The 15,856-nt window shown below is 37.5% G+C and overlaps 1 protein-coding gene across 2 annotated transcripts in view; it reads right to left on the bottom strand.

Moving 5' to 3' along the window:
- Positions 1-15,856, bottom strand: part of PPP2R5A (protein phosphatase 2 regulatory subunit B'alpha) — a 76,444-nt gene that overhangs the window by 18,579 nt on the left and 42,009 nt on the right. For both annotated transcript variants that reach the window (NM_006243.4, NM_001199756.2), the window contains exons 2-4: positions 13,944-14,140; positions 9,677-9,778; positions 995-1,087 (exon numbers count right to left, since the gene is read on the bottom strand). In NM_006243.4, the coding sequence (NP_006234.1) occupies positions 995-1,087; positions 9,677-9,778; positions 13,944-14,140 (392 nt within the window). The remainder of the gene's footprint in view (positions 1-994; positions 1,088-9,676; positions 9,779-13,943; positions 14,141-15,856) is intronic.

Below are 15,856 nucleotides of genomic sequence, written 5' to 3'. Positions count from 1 at the left end.
CATATAGTTAAAAAGGGGCCTTTGGCCAGTGCAGTGGCTCACACCTGTAATCCTAGCTCTTTAGGAGGCTGAGGTGGGAGGATCCCTTGAGGCCAGGAGTTCAAGACCAGCCTGGCCAATGTGGTGAAACCCCGTCTCTACTAGAAATAGAAAAAAAAAATCAGCCGGGCATGGTGGCGTGTGCCTGTAGTCCCAGCTACTTGGGAGGCTGAGGCAGGAGAATCGCTTGAACCCAGGAGGCGGAGGATGAAGTGAGCTGAGGTTGCACCACTGTGCTCCAGTCTGGGCAGCAGAACAAGACTCCCTCTCAAAAAAAAAAGAGGCCTTTAAATTTTTGAAAAGGTTTTGAAAATGAATATATTCTTAGAAATTGTGAATATGTAGGTTCCAAAAATAACAGCTAATAAGCAGTTTATAAAAAAAAAAGAAGGCATCACAATTAATTCTACCTCCTTACGTTCTTAATGATTCCACTTTATCTGTGGTTTAGGAATTGGGTGGTGGGGCTTAGGTGCAAAGAGGAAAGAAAAAGGAAAAGGTAATTGATACTTAGGAAAGGAGCCTAAAGCCCAAATTCCTCACAATGATTCTACTCCTTTTTTCCCCCGTCATTTCAAAGTCCCAATGCTTAAAATATATGTCAAGTTCAAAGACTTACAAATGTAAAACAAAGATTTGCCCATGGATTGAATGGTCATACCACATTTTCTCAGATACTGCAGAAAGGCTTGTTTTTCTGGTATTTATAAAATAACTATGATAATTTAGGATTAAATAGGATAATTTGATTGACTTCATTAGACTCTCACCCTTGATAAAAATACTCTTGTACTCTCAGAGCTAACTTCACTTTTATTCTAATGGTTTGGCAGTAATATTAAGTGCTGTCAAATTAAACCATTAAAGTTTTGAAAGACTACACTATTTTAATAATAAGTTAATAAATCATTGCTAAGATGAATATATGAGAATCTAAGACAAAAGAGTTCCTTACCTGTTGTACGAATTTCTGATCAATGTATCGTTTTGCAATGCTAGGCTGGAAATCAGGGCTCTCCAAAAATCTCAAGAAGAATTCATATACCAACTATGAGAGAAAGTCAAATAAAGGCTAAGATGATGGCTACAGAATATTACCCTAAATAATCACTTCATATTAAAAACACACCTTTTCTTACCAACTTAGTGGGGAGATTTCAGATCTCATTATAAAATGTAATGAGTTGATAAAAAAAATTTTTTTTAAAAATTCACACCTGTACTCCCAACACACTTTAGGAAGCTGAGGTGGGAGAATCCCTTGAGCCCAGGAGTTTGAGGCCACCCTGGACAACATGGTGAGACCGCTGTCTATACAAATAATCAAAAAATTAGCCAGGCATGGTGGCGTATGTCTGTTGTCCCAGCTACTGGGAGGCTGAGGTAGGAAGACTGCTTGAGTCTGGAGGTCAAGGCTGCAGTTAGCCGTGACTGTGCCGTACCACTGCACTCCAGCCTGGGCAACAGAGTGAGACTCTGTCTGAAAAATAAATAAATAAATAAACAAACAAACCTAGAAACTATATATTCACCATTTGGTTTCCTAAGCTGATAAACTTTGAGATTTATTTATTGCTTTACATAACTTGATGCAAAACGTTAAATTACAGGAGCTAGAAAATAAGGACAATGCCTATAAAATTAAATATTTCTTAATTAAATATATTCCTATTTTGTAATCCATACTCACTAGGAAGATGTTCCTTCCCAGTGGACTACTACCTACCTCAATTTAATCACTACAGAGTTTCTTAAATGCAGAGTCAACAACCTCCAGATAAAACAGGCAGTGTATCATTAATTTTTAAAAAGAAAGGAAAAGAAAAACTTCTGGTCTTTCTATAAAACTACAGTGGGAAAACTAATTAAATCAAAACCAGGCATATCCTATCCACACTTGAGAAATAATGAACCAAATTACGTAAGTACAGGGCTAGGGAAGAAATGTCTGTGTACCAACCACAGCAAATAAACTAGAAGTCATAGCAGGCCTTCTATAAAAGTGCCAAGCAACCTACAAGTAATAGCAAATGTTCACTTGCTACCACAAATCAGAATTAAATATTTGGTTCAGCTTGTCACTATCATACCTGCTTTCAAGGAGAAAGGCAAATATGACTAAAGTTTTTTTTTATTGTAACCTAATAGGTATAAAAAGCAGAAACTTAGCCCAAAATGTATCTTATTAGCTATTAAACAATACTATATCAATTTAACACCCTAAAAATAAAAAAGGAGGATTCTATCCCAAAGCAAAAACAGTCATTCAATGAACATTTAGGTAGCCAGTTAGGTTGATGTAGAAGTTAGAAAAGAAAAAGGGAAAAGAAAGATTGCTACATTAAATTAATAGACCTTAGAGCAAACAAAAGCACTACCAGATCTAGGCCTTATCATTCACCAAGTAACAACACATTTTTACTACTGTGAGTTCAGTAACAGTCTACAGCTAACAAAAGTTTGGGGATCTGAGCAAATACAATTTTGCTTGATGTATCTCTGCCCAACTGTGGAAAAGGAGTGATGCTTATCTGGTCTAATGTTACCTAACATTTTGTGTTTATCATAAATTAAGGATATAACAAGAAATAAAACTTGATAGCAATTTAAGTTTTTATTCATAGATAATTTTCTAATCAAACAACAATAGAGATAAAAGATAATTTTGCTTTGGGGTATACACGTGCAAAAAGATATACAAAACTGATCACAGAGCGCTCTGAAAAGTCAGCACAGTCTCATGGACTGCTATGCAGTTTCATTAACGGCACAACTTAATTCATTCAGTGCCTATTTTCATGTCCAGTACTGGGCTATGTATAGTATGAACAGACATTAGGGATGGTATGGCTCAAAAAGCCCATTCACTACACAAAAATTATATTATGTGGCACAGACTATAAGTGCAGGAGCTATTTAGAAAAGGGCTGTATCACTGTGGAATAGGTAGGAAAAGCTTTAAGGAGGATATGCAACTTGAGCCCTGCATTTGTTTTGATTCTAGATCCTTTGTTTTGATTCTGGATCCTCAGGAAGAGGATGGCTTTTATTTTATAGAAATGTAGCAGCATGTCTTGATTTAAAAATATATATATTTATTTATTTTTAGAGACAGAGTTTCACCACGTTGCCCAGGCTGGTCTCGAACTCCCAGGCTCAAGCTATGCACCCGCCTCAGCATCCTAACGTGCTGGTAAGGTGTAAGCCACCATGCCTGGCTTTTTTTTTTTTTTTTTTTTTTTTAAGCAGCATGTCTTGAGATGAAGAGAATGCAGAGTATAGGTTGATGGTATGGAATTATAGACTCCAAATCTTTATGCAAATCCCTGGAGATTCCACCATAAGGTGGGATCAGGTTAAACATTAAACATGAGCCAAATGTGGCATGCATTAGCCTATTTACTCTCCCTTCTTAAGATCTTCATCAGAAATATAGGGTTTAAGGCTTAATAGTTTTCAGAGTAATAGCCTGTCCTATGGGAGACTTTTATGACATCAAGCTACAAATCAGACTGAATTCTCTAATTCTCTCAAACTGAATTCTCTAAACCATATATATAATTGAACCATATATATAATTGAAACCTGTGCCATTCACAAATACCACATATAAATTCTTTCATAGTTTTCATCTACATCATTTACCTGACACAGTAAACATTAGGTGATCAGTCAAAATTAGCAGCAAAATGCTGTTATGCCGCCAACTTAGCACCACTAAAGAGATGATGACAAAAAGTTACTTAAATACATATTGAGGTCCGGGTGCAGTGGCTCACACCTGTAATCCCAGCACTTTGGGAGCCTGAGGCGGGTGGATCACCTGAGGTCGGGAGTTCCAGACCAGCCTGGCCAACATGCAGAAATCCCGTCTCTACTAAAAATACAAAATTAGCCAGACATGGTGGTGCATGCCTGTAATCCCAGCTACTTGGGAGGCTGAGGCAGGAGAATTGCTTGAACCTGAGAGGCAGAGGTTGCAGTGAGCCGAGATTACTCCATTGCATTCCAGCCTGGGCAACAAGAGCAAAACTCCATCTCAGAAAAATAAATAAATAAAAATGATGAATAGTTATCCCAAATAGAGGTAGAAGAAACACTAGTGATCTACAGAGCTGGAAATCTTCAAAATGGAATAATTGAGATTATGCTTCTATAAAATTTATCCTGTCCCAGTGTCACTCTCTATTTACTCCATCCTACATTTTAAAAAATGTATCACACCGTAACATAGAATATATGCCAATTATTTTATTATTATTTTGTTCTTCTCTGCTAGGATGTAAGGGATTTTGCTTAGTTCATTACTTTACCCTCAATGTTTACAAAAATGCTTGACACACAATAGATGCTTACTGAATGAATGAAAATCACATTTGTTAAGAAGGTGTGTTTCTACGTAGTGACTGAAGTTTTTCTATGGTCTTGTTTTCTTTCTTTTTTTTTTTTGAGACAGAGTCTTGCTTTGTCGCCCAGGCTGGAGTGCAATGGCGCAATGTCGGCTCACTGCAACCTCTGCCTCCTGGGTTCAAGCCATTCTCCTGCCTCAGCCTCCTGAGTAGCTGGGATTAGAGGCGTGTGCCACCATGCCTGGCTAATTTTTGTATTCTTAGTAGAGACGGGGTTTCACCATGTTGTTCAGGCTGGTCTCGAACTCCTGACCTCATGATCCTTCTGACCTCATGATCCACCTGCCTCAGCCTCCCAAAGTGCTGGGATTACTGGGATTGCTGGGATTACAAGTGGGCGTGAGCCACTGCGCCCAGCCTTCTATGGTCTTCTATACAAATAACTTGCTCCAAGAATCTAAGAAACAGTGTTGCAAAGAAAAACAGGCACTTCACCAGTGAATTCAGTTCACTAATAAAATGACAAACTTCAACTATGTTCAATGTATGGCTAGTCCTTCTACTTCTGTACACCAAAAATACCCTAAAAAGTGAAAGATAACTAAAAAGTATAGGGAATTGAGGAGTGTAATCTTACTATTCTACTGAGTTCTGACCATGTCTTTCCTAAGGGAGTTAACATAAAACATAGAATTCTGGTCTTCACCATTAAAAAGACTTGGGAGAAGTTCCAACAGAAAACAGCATAGATGATTAAAGTATCTGAAAAATAAGACCTATACAAAAAGCTAAAGGAATAGAAATGTTTGGGTCAGAGAGGCAAAGACTCAGAAGCAAACTTTAAAGACCTACAAGTACCTAAGAGGCTGCTTTCAAGTAATACAGGTGACCAATGTTTTCCAACCTCTATTAAGAGGAAACGTAAATAAGGTTTTTAATTGATTTAATATATAAAAGAATTCATATAAAAATTAATGCATAGTCAACTATATGAGATATTATATATTAAGCACCCAAAAAGAACATTGCCTGGGATGAGGTAAACATTAACAAAATCTTAGTTTTTTAAGAATCTGTTTTTCTCTGTAATCCTTGTGAAAACACAGATTGTGCATAAACCTTGAATAGTTTAAATACAGGGAGCCTAGGTTTTTTCCCTCTGCTCTTTTATCCATAAGAACTAAAAAGATAATAACTATTCACAATGAAAAAGGCCAAAGCAATGAAAGTATTTCTCAACCTTATATAAAAGATATTCCTTTTTATTTTTGTGGCTATAAAGTTAGTGCATTAGGCTATGATTCCTACCATTTTGGATTCTTAGCCCATGAAAATATTTAAAATATAGTATATGGCCAAGAGTTATTTGAATGTAAAGGTGTACACTGTAATATATGTATGTTGCTAGTTTAAATTTCTAATTATATTGCCCAGAGAGAAAAGCCTTCTAATCCCTAAAATACAACTTATTCCTAAAAAGGTCTATGTTCTAGGCACTATCCTACATAATTAAATCTTAATTATCTGTGCCACTAAAGTAATTAATAAAAGAAAGTGAAAATACACAATCTGCCTGTATTCCAGGCTAGTACAGCAGCCAAGTGTCCTAATTATCTAAAAGTGCAGAAAATTAATATATTGTTAGTCTTCAATAAATAGAAAGCAATAATACTTAGGAAAGAAATGAGAAAATAATTTAAAACTGTTGTACATTAAGTTACCATGTAATACTACACTTAATAAATTAGAAGATACAACCTATCCCCTAATACTGAAATGACCTTCCTTGTGGTCCTTTCTTCTATCTCTTTTTATTCCATTATTCCATTGCTCATTAGTATTTCCATTACAGTGTAAGAATAAGTAAAAACAGATAAACTTTTATTAGCACATGTTTAGAAAATTCATGAAAAGGGTGGGGAAACAAAGGCTTGAAAGGTTTTGAGATTACTTGTAATTACTCCCTCATTAACAACTAATGTTTATTTTCCACCCTAATAAATTAGTTTCTAGCATCTAGGATCTCATAAGCTAAATGTAAAACGTAAACTTTTAGTACGAAACAAAAGAATTCCAGGTGGGTTAAGCACACATTATAATAGCAGAAGAAACTTTCATTGAGCAAATTTCTTCAGTGCTACAATTCCCTATAATCTAATTTGTCAGAGTAGTTTTAATATTCCATCTAAAAACACTCAAGATGATTAATAACGTAGCTACAATATATTGACAAATCCTATAAATCAGGTCACTTTAGTATCTACCAGTTTCTGATGTCCTTAGACTATTTAATTGCCAAATTTAAAAACTGTATGCCAAATTTTGGTTTCTAGAAATTTTGGTTTTCAGAAAGATTTTTTAACTATATCTAAGGCAGAGCCTTTTAATCAAGGGACCATAGATGAATGAGAATTTCTTTTATCTCTGGGAATTTGTCTTGAGAGAGAACTACTTCTCAAAAATCGTATTTTGGGCTGGACACAGTGGCTCATGCCTGTAATCCCAGCACTTTGGGAGGCTGAGGTGGATGGATCACTTGAGGTCTGAGTTCGAGACCTGCCTGGCCAACATGCTGAAACCCCATCTCTACTAAAAATACAACAATTAGCTGGGCATGGTGGCAAGCACCTGCAGTCCCAGATACTCAAGAGACTTGAGGCAGGAGAATCATCTGAACTTGGGAGGTGGAGGTTGCAGTGAGCCGAGATCATGCCACTGCACTCCAACCTGGGCAACAGAGTGAGACTCCATCTCAAAAATAAATACATAAATAAAAAAAGAAAAAATCATATTTTGAAAGCAACTTACCACCTCCTAAAATGTTAAGAACCACTGGTTTCAGGGAATTTAAATAAAACCTCAAATCATACCAGTTAAAAATGGAAAGCATATTGTCTACTTGGCTCAATTTCCACTGTTACTTTCCATGAGCATATAAATATATTCTAATGAAAACACTTTCTTTACTTTTAAAAATTCAAAGACCAAGGGGTCTTTTTCAGACTGTTCAACTACATCTGATTAAAAAATCAGCTAATGAGAATTTTTCATTATCAGCTTATCAACTTATCAGCTAATGAGAATATGTAAAACCTTTACATTTCATATACAGCATTATTAATTTTACACCAACTATGGAACAAAATTTCAGATAAACTTGTGTACAGTTCTATTAAAAAATAATTTACCACTTAGGATTTTTCTAGTTCTGTAAGCTCTAATGTGCTGAAAGATCTTAAAACCATTATCAGCTTTCACTAATCCTAGGACACCGCTCCATTTTATTTGGATGTATAGGTGCTACACAGAATGAATAAATTAATAAATAATGAGGCAGACTATTGCATAAAGTATCCCAAACGACATAGAATGTAATTTTCTTTCTCTCATCTTTTTTCTTTTTTTTTTTTTGAGCCGGAGTTTCTCTCTTGTTGCCCAGGCTGGAGTGCAATGGCGCAATCTCGGCTCACCACAACCTCCGCCTCCTGGGTTCCAGCGATTCTCCTGCCTCAGCCTCCTGAGTAGTTGGGATTACAGGCATGTGCCACCATGCCTGGCTAATTTTGTATTTTTAGTAGAGATGGGGTTTCTCCATGTTAGGCTGGTCTGGAACTCCTGACCTCAGGTGATCCACCCAGCTTGGCCTCCCAAAGTGCTGGGATTACAGGTGTGAGCCACCATGCCTGGCCTCTCTCATCTTTTTATAATAACAGAAAATGTAAAGGTCACTACAGAATATAAAAACTTGCAAAATTAAAAAAAAATCAGCAAATTAATTGGCATTAATACCTAGAATCCATATATAAATGAAGAAAATTGAACAGAGCTCCAGAGACCTGTGGGACACCATCAAGTATAGCAACATACACATAAATGAGAGTCCCAGAAGATGAGAGAAAAAGGGCAGGAAAAATATTTGAATGATGACCAAAAATAAATAAAATATTATGAAAAATATTAGTTTACATAATGAATTCTAATTGTAACTCAATAAACAACAGGTAGAATAAAGTCAAGAAGATCCACACCTAGATACATCATAATCAAATTGACAAAACTTAAAGAGATAACATTTATAGCAGCAAAAGAAAAACGACTTTTCACATACATGATGAGATCCTCAATAAGATTAATGGCTAACTTGTCATCAGAAAACCATGGACGTAAGAAGACAAATGGGATGACATGTTCAAAGTGTTGAAAGAAAAAGACTGTTAGCCAAGAATTCTACATCCAGCAAAACTCTCCTTCAAAAATGAAGAGGAAATTAAGACATTCCTAGATAAACACTGAAAGAATTTGTCATTAATTGCACACCTGTAATCCCAGCACTTTGGGAACCAAGTGGGTGGGCTGCTTGAGCTCAGGTGTTCGAAACCAGCCTGGGCAACATGGCAAAACCCCATCTCTACTAAAAATACAAAAATTAGCAGGTGTAGTGTCACACATCTGTAGTTGCAGCTACTTAGGAGGCTGAGGTGGGAGGATGGCTTGAGCCCAGGAGGCAGAAGTTGCAGTGAGCTGAGATCATGCCACTCCACTACACTCCAGCCTGGGTGACAGAACCAGACCCCATCTCAAAAAAAAAGGAAAGAAAAGAAAAACATAATGTATAAAAATTTATGGATTCAAGCAAAAACTTATACATAGAACTGTTCATAACAGCTCTATTCACAATAGCCAAATGATGGAAATAATTTAAATGTCCATCAACTGGTAAGTGGATAAACAAATGTGGTATATCCATACAATGGAATAATTCATCCATAAAAAGGAATGAAGTATTGATACAGACTACATTTATGAACCTTGAAAACATTATGCTAACTGAAAGAACCCAGAAACAAAAGCCCACATATTACATAATTTCACTTATATGAAGTATCCAAAATAGGCAAATCCAGAGACAGAAAGCAGATTGGTAGTTGTCAGGGGCTGTAAAGAGAGCAGAATGGGGCATGAGTGCTAAATGCCAATGGGGTTTCCATTTGGGGTGATAGAAAAGTTATAGAATTAAAGAGTGGTGATGGGTTGTATAACATGGCGAATGTACTTTGTGCCACTGAATTGTACACTTCAAAATGGTTTAAATGGTAAATATATGTTAAGTGTATTTTATTACAATGAAAAAACATTGAAAAACAGTACTTGCATGAAAGAAGATAATGTTAATAAAACCATAAAAGTCAAATATTTTACACAGACACTCAGAATCTAAATGAGAAAACCATGATTTCTGCAGAATAGCATAAATATAAAAACTGCCAATACGTAATTATGTTCCATACCTGTATGTGAGGCCAAGAGGCCTCAAGCGTGGGTTCATCCTCTTCTGGATCAAAATCTGGATTATCACTTGGAGGAAGTGTACGGAAGATGTTAGCACTGATCTGTAAAGAAAAAATAATTTTACGTTCGTTGTTGTATGTGTAATTGAATTGGACAATTCAAAACGAAGTATTTTAAAGATCACTTTCAGAAAAAAGTTATAGCTGTAAGCTTAGTTCAAAATCTGTAAACCTCTTCAAGATACAAAGAAAGCAGGTGTTTGTTTCTCTCTTTTCTCTATCCAATAACTCTGACTTCCTCAGACCTAAGCTCCTGAAGATTACAGATAACCTCTGGATTCATCTTCTTTAAATTATAAATTGTTCTTTCCGAATTTTGCTTAAAAAGAAAGAGGGGGCCAGGCGAAGTGGCTCACACCTGTAATCCCAGCACTTTGGGAGGCCGAGGGGGGCAGACTGTCTGAGGTCAGGAGTTCAAGACCAGCCTGGGCAACATGGTGAAACCCCCAATCTCTACAAAAACACAAAAATTAGCTAGGCATGGTGGCGCACACTTGTGGTCCTAACTACTGGAGAGGCTGAGGCAGGAGAATCGCTTGAGCCCAGGAGACAGAGGTTGCAGTGAGCCGAGATCATACCACTGCATTCCAGCCTGGGTGACAGAGCCAGACCCTGTCTCCAAAAATAAAAATAAAAATAAAAAAATAAAAAAGAAAGAAGGGAAAGGGAGAATATTGAGGAAGGGAGTACAGGGAATTCGAGGGAAAAAGTTACTAATTCTACTTATCTTTAATTTGATTCATTTCACCTTTCTATAATTCCTCCCATATTCCAACATGGCCATATTCTATACTTGCCTTATAACTCAGAGTTTGGTAAAATCTCTCCATTCTTATACATACATACCACACTAAGGAAGAGGTGAGTGAGGGTAGAATGCCTTCACTGTTAATATAAATGTGTTTATAATACCTTTTGATGATTTAATTTACTGTATTTCATCTACTTTGAGACTTTTAAAAAACATATTAACCACCCTGAAATCAGGATGTGCTTCATTTTAGATCCAGTGAAATAAAGGATTTATAATTTCATGCTTTGCATTATCTTAGTACTAAGGTAAATATATATCCTTTTTCTCTAGCAAAGGATAGACTGTGGTCCTAATCTACAATTTTTTTAAGAATAATGAACAGACTGACAGACTAAGTAGTTTAATAAACATTTAAGGCCCAACTACTAAGGGGTTGATCATTTTGAGACAAACTATTCCAGAGGTAGAGGACAAGACAAGGAATTGCAAGCAAATTCCCAACTATTCTTATGAAGTGGCATCTTTGGTACACAAATTAACTGCTAATAGTCAATTACTGTAACCGTTAAGACTTAATAAGTAATAACCTAAAATTTGATCAGCCAGAACTCAAAGTCAGTACTTGAGGGCAAAGCCAATAAACAGTTTGATGGACATCAATTTCACAAAGAGTAGCAGCAAGCCATCGATACAATTTGAAAAGAAATCTATCTCACAAGAGCGTAGAATTTGTCCTTGAGATCATACTTATTATTGTCAGTAGTAAAAGAAAAAGTTAACCTTGTAGCCACTAATAAAATTAACTGTATATAACAAATATTCAGAAGAGCTTCAAGAGTCTAAATTGGTAAGATGACTCAAGTATTACTTAGATATTAAATTAAGTACTCATAAATTTTTAAGAAACCAACAATATATACCTACTATGTGCCCACAGAAATCAAAATAAAATATTTAAGAAAGCAACAACACACACACACCTTTTTACTTGGGCAAAGAAATTAAATCCCATAATTTATTAGTATATAGCAAATTTGACTCAAATATTTGAGACTTTCAGTATCTGTCAACAATTTTAGAGATTAATTCCCAGGACTTTAAAAATTCCTGAATATAAGCCATTTGAAATCAGTAACAGTAGGAAATACTGCTTTTTCTCCCTGAACTTTTTAAATGATAAAAAAAACTTGAAGAAGTCCATCAATATTTAGTATTTATGTTCTCAAACTATCACTTCCTTTTATTGTCTGTAGGAGTTTAAGCCAATTTCATTTTGATTAATGTTCTCTCTATAGCTAATCTTTAAATTTTTTTGAGGCTGGACATGGTGGCCCATGCATGTAAACCTAGCACTTTGGGAGGCCGAGACAGGAGGACTGCTTGAGGTCAGGAGTTTGAGACCAGCCTGGGCAATAAGCAAGGCTCCACCTCTAAAAAAAAAAAAAAAAATGAAAAAATTAATCGGGCATGGTGGTGTATGCTTGTAGTTCTACCTACTCAGGAGGCTTAGGCAGGAGGACAGCTTGTGCCCAGGAGGTCAAGGCTGTGGTGAGCTATGATTACGCCACTGCACTCCAGCCTGGGAAAAGAGACACTCTCTTTTTTTTTTTTTTTTTTGAGACAAGGTCTCATTCTGTCGCCCAGCCTGGAGTGCAGTGGCACAATCTTGGCCCACTGCAACCTCCGCCTCCCAGGTTCGAGCAATTCTCCGGCCTCAGCCTCCCAAATAGTTGGGATTACAGGCGCCCACCACCACACCTGGCTAATTTTTGTATTTTTAGCAGAGATGGGGTTTCACCATGTTGGCCAGGCTGTTCTCAAACTCCTGACCTCAGGTGATCAACCCGCCTTGGCCTCCCAAAGTGCTGGGGTTACAGGCATGAGCCACTGTGCCCAGCCAACTCTGTCTCCAAAAAAAAAAAATTTTTTTTTGAAGGCTTTTATTCTCTCTAAGGAAAAAAAACAAACCCAACAATCAAAAATTTCCTAATTCCTTTTGAGAGGTCTTATACTACAGATTGATAAAAGGAAACCCAACTACTATAGTAGGGCCAAACTTATATTTCCTACTACACATTTGGTTCTTCCCCAAGAACATATATTAGGCAAGGGGAAAGAAATGAAGGCAACTGTAGGTTATATTTATATTTGCTTTTAGCTTCAATACTCTAAGTTTAAATTATGTACTCAGCGACTCTCTAATTAGTCCAACTGGATTTTTTTACTTTTTTTTTTTTGAGACAAGGTGTTCCTCTGTCAACCCAGGCTGGAATGCAGTGGTGATCATGGCTCACTTCAGTCTTGAACTCCTGGGCTCAAGCGATCCTCTCACCTCAGCCTCCTGAGTAGCTGGGCCTTTACTAAAGGCTCATGCCACCATGCCTAGCTAATATTTTTATTTTTATTTTTAGTACTTTTTGTAGAGATGGGTCCTTGCTATGCTGGCCAGGCTGGTCTTGAACTCTTGGCCTCAAGTGATTCTCCCACCTCAGCCTCCCAAAGTGCTGGGGTTTACAAGCATAAGCGAGCCACTGCACTGGCCTGAATTTTTATATTTTGTTAGTATACAATAAAATAAAATTAAAAAATCACAAATACTAAACAAAATCATACTGTTTGATAGAAAATAAGGTTGAATTATTAATAAACAGCAAGCATCCTAAACAACCTTACTTCAATAAAGTTGGCTGCAGTTTTTTTTCCACATCAGATATTATAACTTCTTAAAGATCCTGACTTTCAATTAAAGCGTTATACCTGACTCCCTTACCCACTGCTTAAATGTGGAGATCCCTAGTCTTTCAATGGTCTTCCCTTTCCCCTTTACAAGTTCTTAGTAATGGCCGGGTGCGGTGGCTCACGCCTATAATCCCAGCATTTTCAGAGGCCGCGGCAGGTCGATCAACGTGTCAGGAGTTCAAGACCAGCCTGGCCAAGATGGTGAAACCCCATCTCTACTGAAGATACAAAAATTGGCTGGGCGTGGTCGTGGGCACCTGTAATCCCAGCTACTCGGGAGGCTGAGGCAGAGAACTGCTTGAAACTGGGAGGCAGAGGTTGCAGTGAGCCAAGATCGCACCACTGCACTCCAGCCTGGGCTACACAGCAAGACTCCGTCTCAAAAATAAATAAATAAAAATAAAAGTTCTCAGTAACTATTCACCTCCATGACATTAATTACCTATCAATCTGTATAATCCCAGGCCTAAACCCTTCTCTTAAGCTCTAGATCTGCACTATCCAATATGGAAGCCACCAGCCACTATGACTCTCAATTCCCAAACTTGTATATGCAATGATGGTATCATTGGAATGGATGGGGTATGAACTATTTTCTAAAATTTGGGGGATGTATTAATTATTGTACATTTATTTAAAATCAGTCTCAATTCATTATTATACCTCAGATCTTAAATTTACATAAATCTGAGGAACATAATTCTAGAGGCTTACCATTTTTACTATATCAGAATACGCTGATTCAACAATTACACCACGATTAGTTGAAACATACTCAACCAGTTCATTCAGTGTTGCTCTTTTAATTTCTTTGCTCTTCAAGTCTGAAACAGAGTCCATGAAATCAAACAGTATACAACACTGCTGCAACTTCTGACAGAAAAGCTCTTGTTGTTCATTTGAAGTGGCATCTATAAATAAAAATAAAGAAAAACTTAGAAATAACCTACTCAGAAGTTACTTTTATATATTTATTAATTTTGTAGAAGCTATTCACATATGTAAAACTTCTTCCAAAAATCTAGTGAGAAATGTGCCCATCTATAACCCCATCATTCAGGGATTTATACTGGACTCTTCTCTCTCCCTCATTACTCACAATCAATCATTAAAAAAATTTTTTTAAAGAAATATGGTCTTGCTACATTGCCCAAGATAGACTCAAACTCCTAGGCTCATGTGATCCTCCTGCCTCAGCCTCCAGAGTAGTGGAGATTATGTGCCACCATATCCAGCTAATCATTAAATGTTACTGATTCGGCGTCTTTAACATATTTGAAATCTATTCTTGTCATTCCCGCTGCCATTTCAGACTCTCACCATGCCTCATCTGGACTACAGCAATGATATGCTAATTGCTCCTCTTATCTGGTCCCATAACCATTACCACTCCTGACTTACCCTCCAAACAACCTCAAAATCTTGCCAAAATGAGAATCGGTGTGTTCAAGTTCCATGTTTTTCAATGATACTCCAATAATTAAATAATAAAGTTCAAACTCCTCTCGGCTGTATACAAAGTACAGCTGTCTACTGTCAAGAGTCATCTCTCAACCCTTTCCAACATGCCTCTTCATTTTGGTTAAACCATACTCTCTGTAGTTCCCTGAAGATTACACAATGTTTCCTCTGTCTGGAATGCCCTTCTTCCCACATTCCCACCCTGGGAACACTACCTACTTACAAAGTTTCAGCGTAAGTCCCTTCTTTTTTTTTAATTTTTATTTTTTTGAGACAAACTCTTGCTCTGTCGCCTGGGCTGGAGTACAGTTTTCAGAAGCTTTCCTTATGGTACTGAAGCTAAATTGGTTGGTTTATCCACTTTTACCCAAATGTGTTTTAGGTGCATATCTCTGTTATAGTATTTACTGTGCTTTACAGCAATTATATTTTACATACTCAGCACCCCTCAACTAAAAGCAGGAACCAACGGCTAGGCACAGTGGCTCACATCTGTAATCCCAGCATTTTGGGAGGCCAAGGCGGGCAGATCACTTGAGGTCATGAGTTCGAGACCAGCCTTGCCAACATGGCAAAACCCCGTCTCTACTAAAAATACAAAAATTATCCGGGCATGGTGGCGCATGCCTGTAATCCCAGCTACTCCAGAGGCTGAGGTAAGAGAATTGCTTGAACCCAGGAGGCTGGGGTTGCAGCGAGCCGAAATCGCACCACTGCATTCCAGCCTGGGCAACAGAGACAACATCTCAATCAATCAATGCAGAAACCAAGTTTTACTTATCTAATTATCTCTGTCTTTCTCTCTCTCTACTTCTCTTTCTCTTTCTAGTATCTAATACAATGCCTGGCATATAATAGGCACTCAAAAAATGGGCCGGTGTGGTGGCTCATGCCTGTAATCCCAGCACTTTGGAAGGCTGAGGCAGGCGGATGACTTGAGGTCAGGAGTTCAAGACCAGCCTAGCCAAATGGTGAAACCCCATCTCTACTAAAAATACAAAAATTAGCCAAACGTGGTGGCGGGCGCCTGTAATCCCAGCTACTGGGAAGGCTGAGGAAGGAGAATCACTGGAACGCAGGAGGTGGGGGTTGCAATGAGCCGAGATAGCGCCACTGCACTCCAGCCTGGGCCACAGAGTGAGACTCAAGTCTCGATTTAAAAAGTT

This window comes from Homo sapiens, chromosome 1, assembly GCF_000001405.40.
Source record: "Homo sapiens chromosome 1, GRCh38.p14 Primary Assembly".
NCBI lineage: Eukaryota > Metazoa > Chordata > Mammalia > Primates > Hominidae > Homo > Homo sapiens.
Note: the sequence above shows the minus strand (reverse complement) of the source record. Positions and strands in the feature narration are given on the sequence as shown.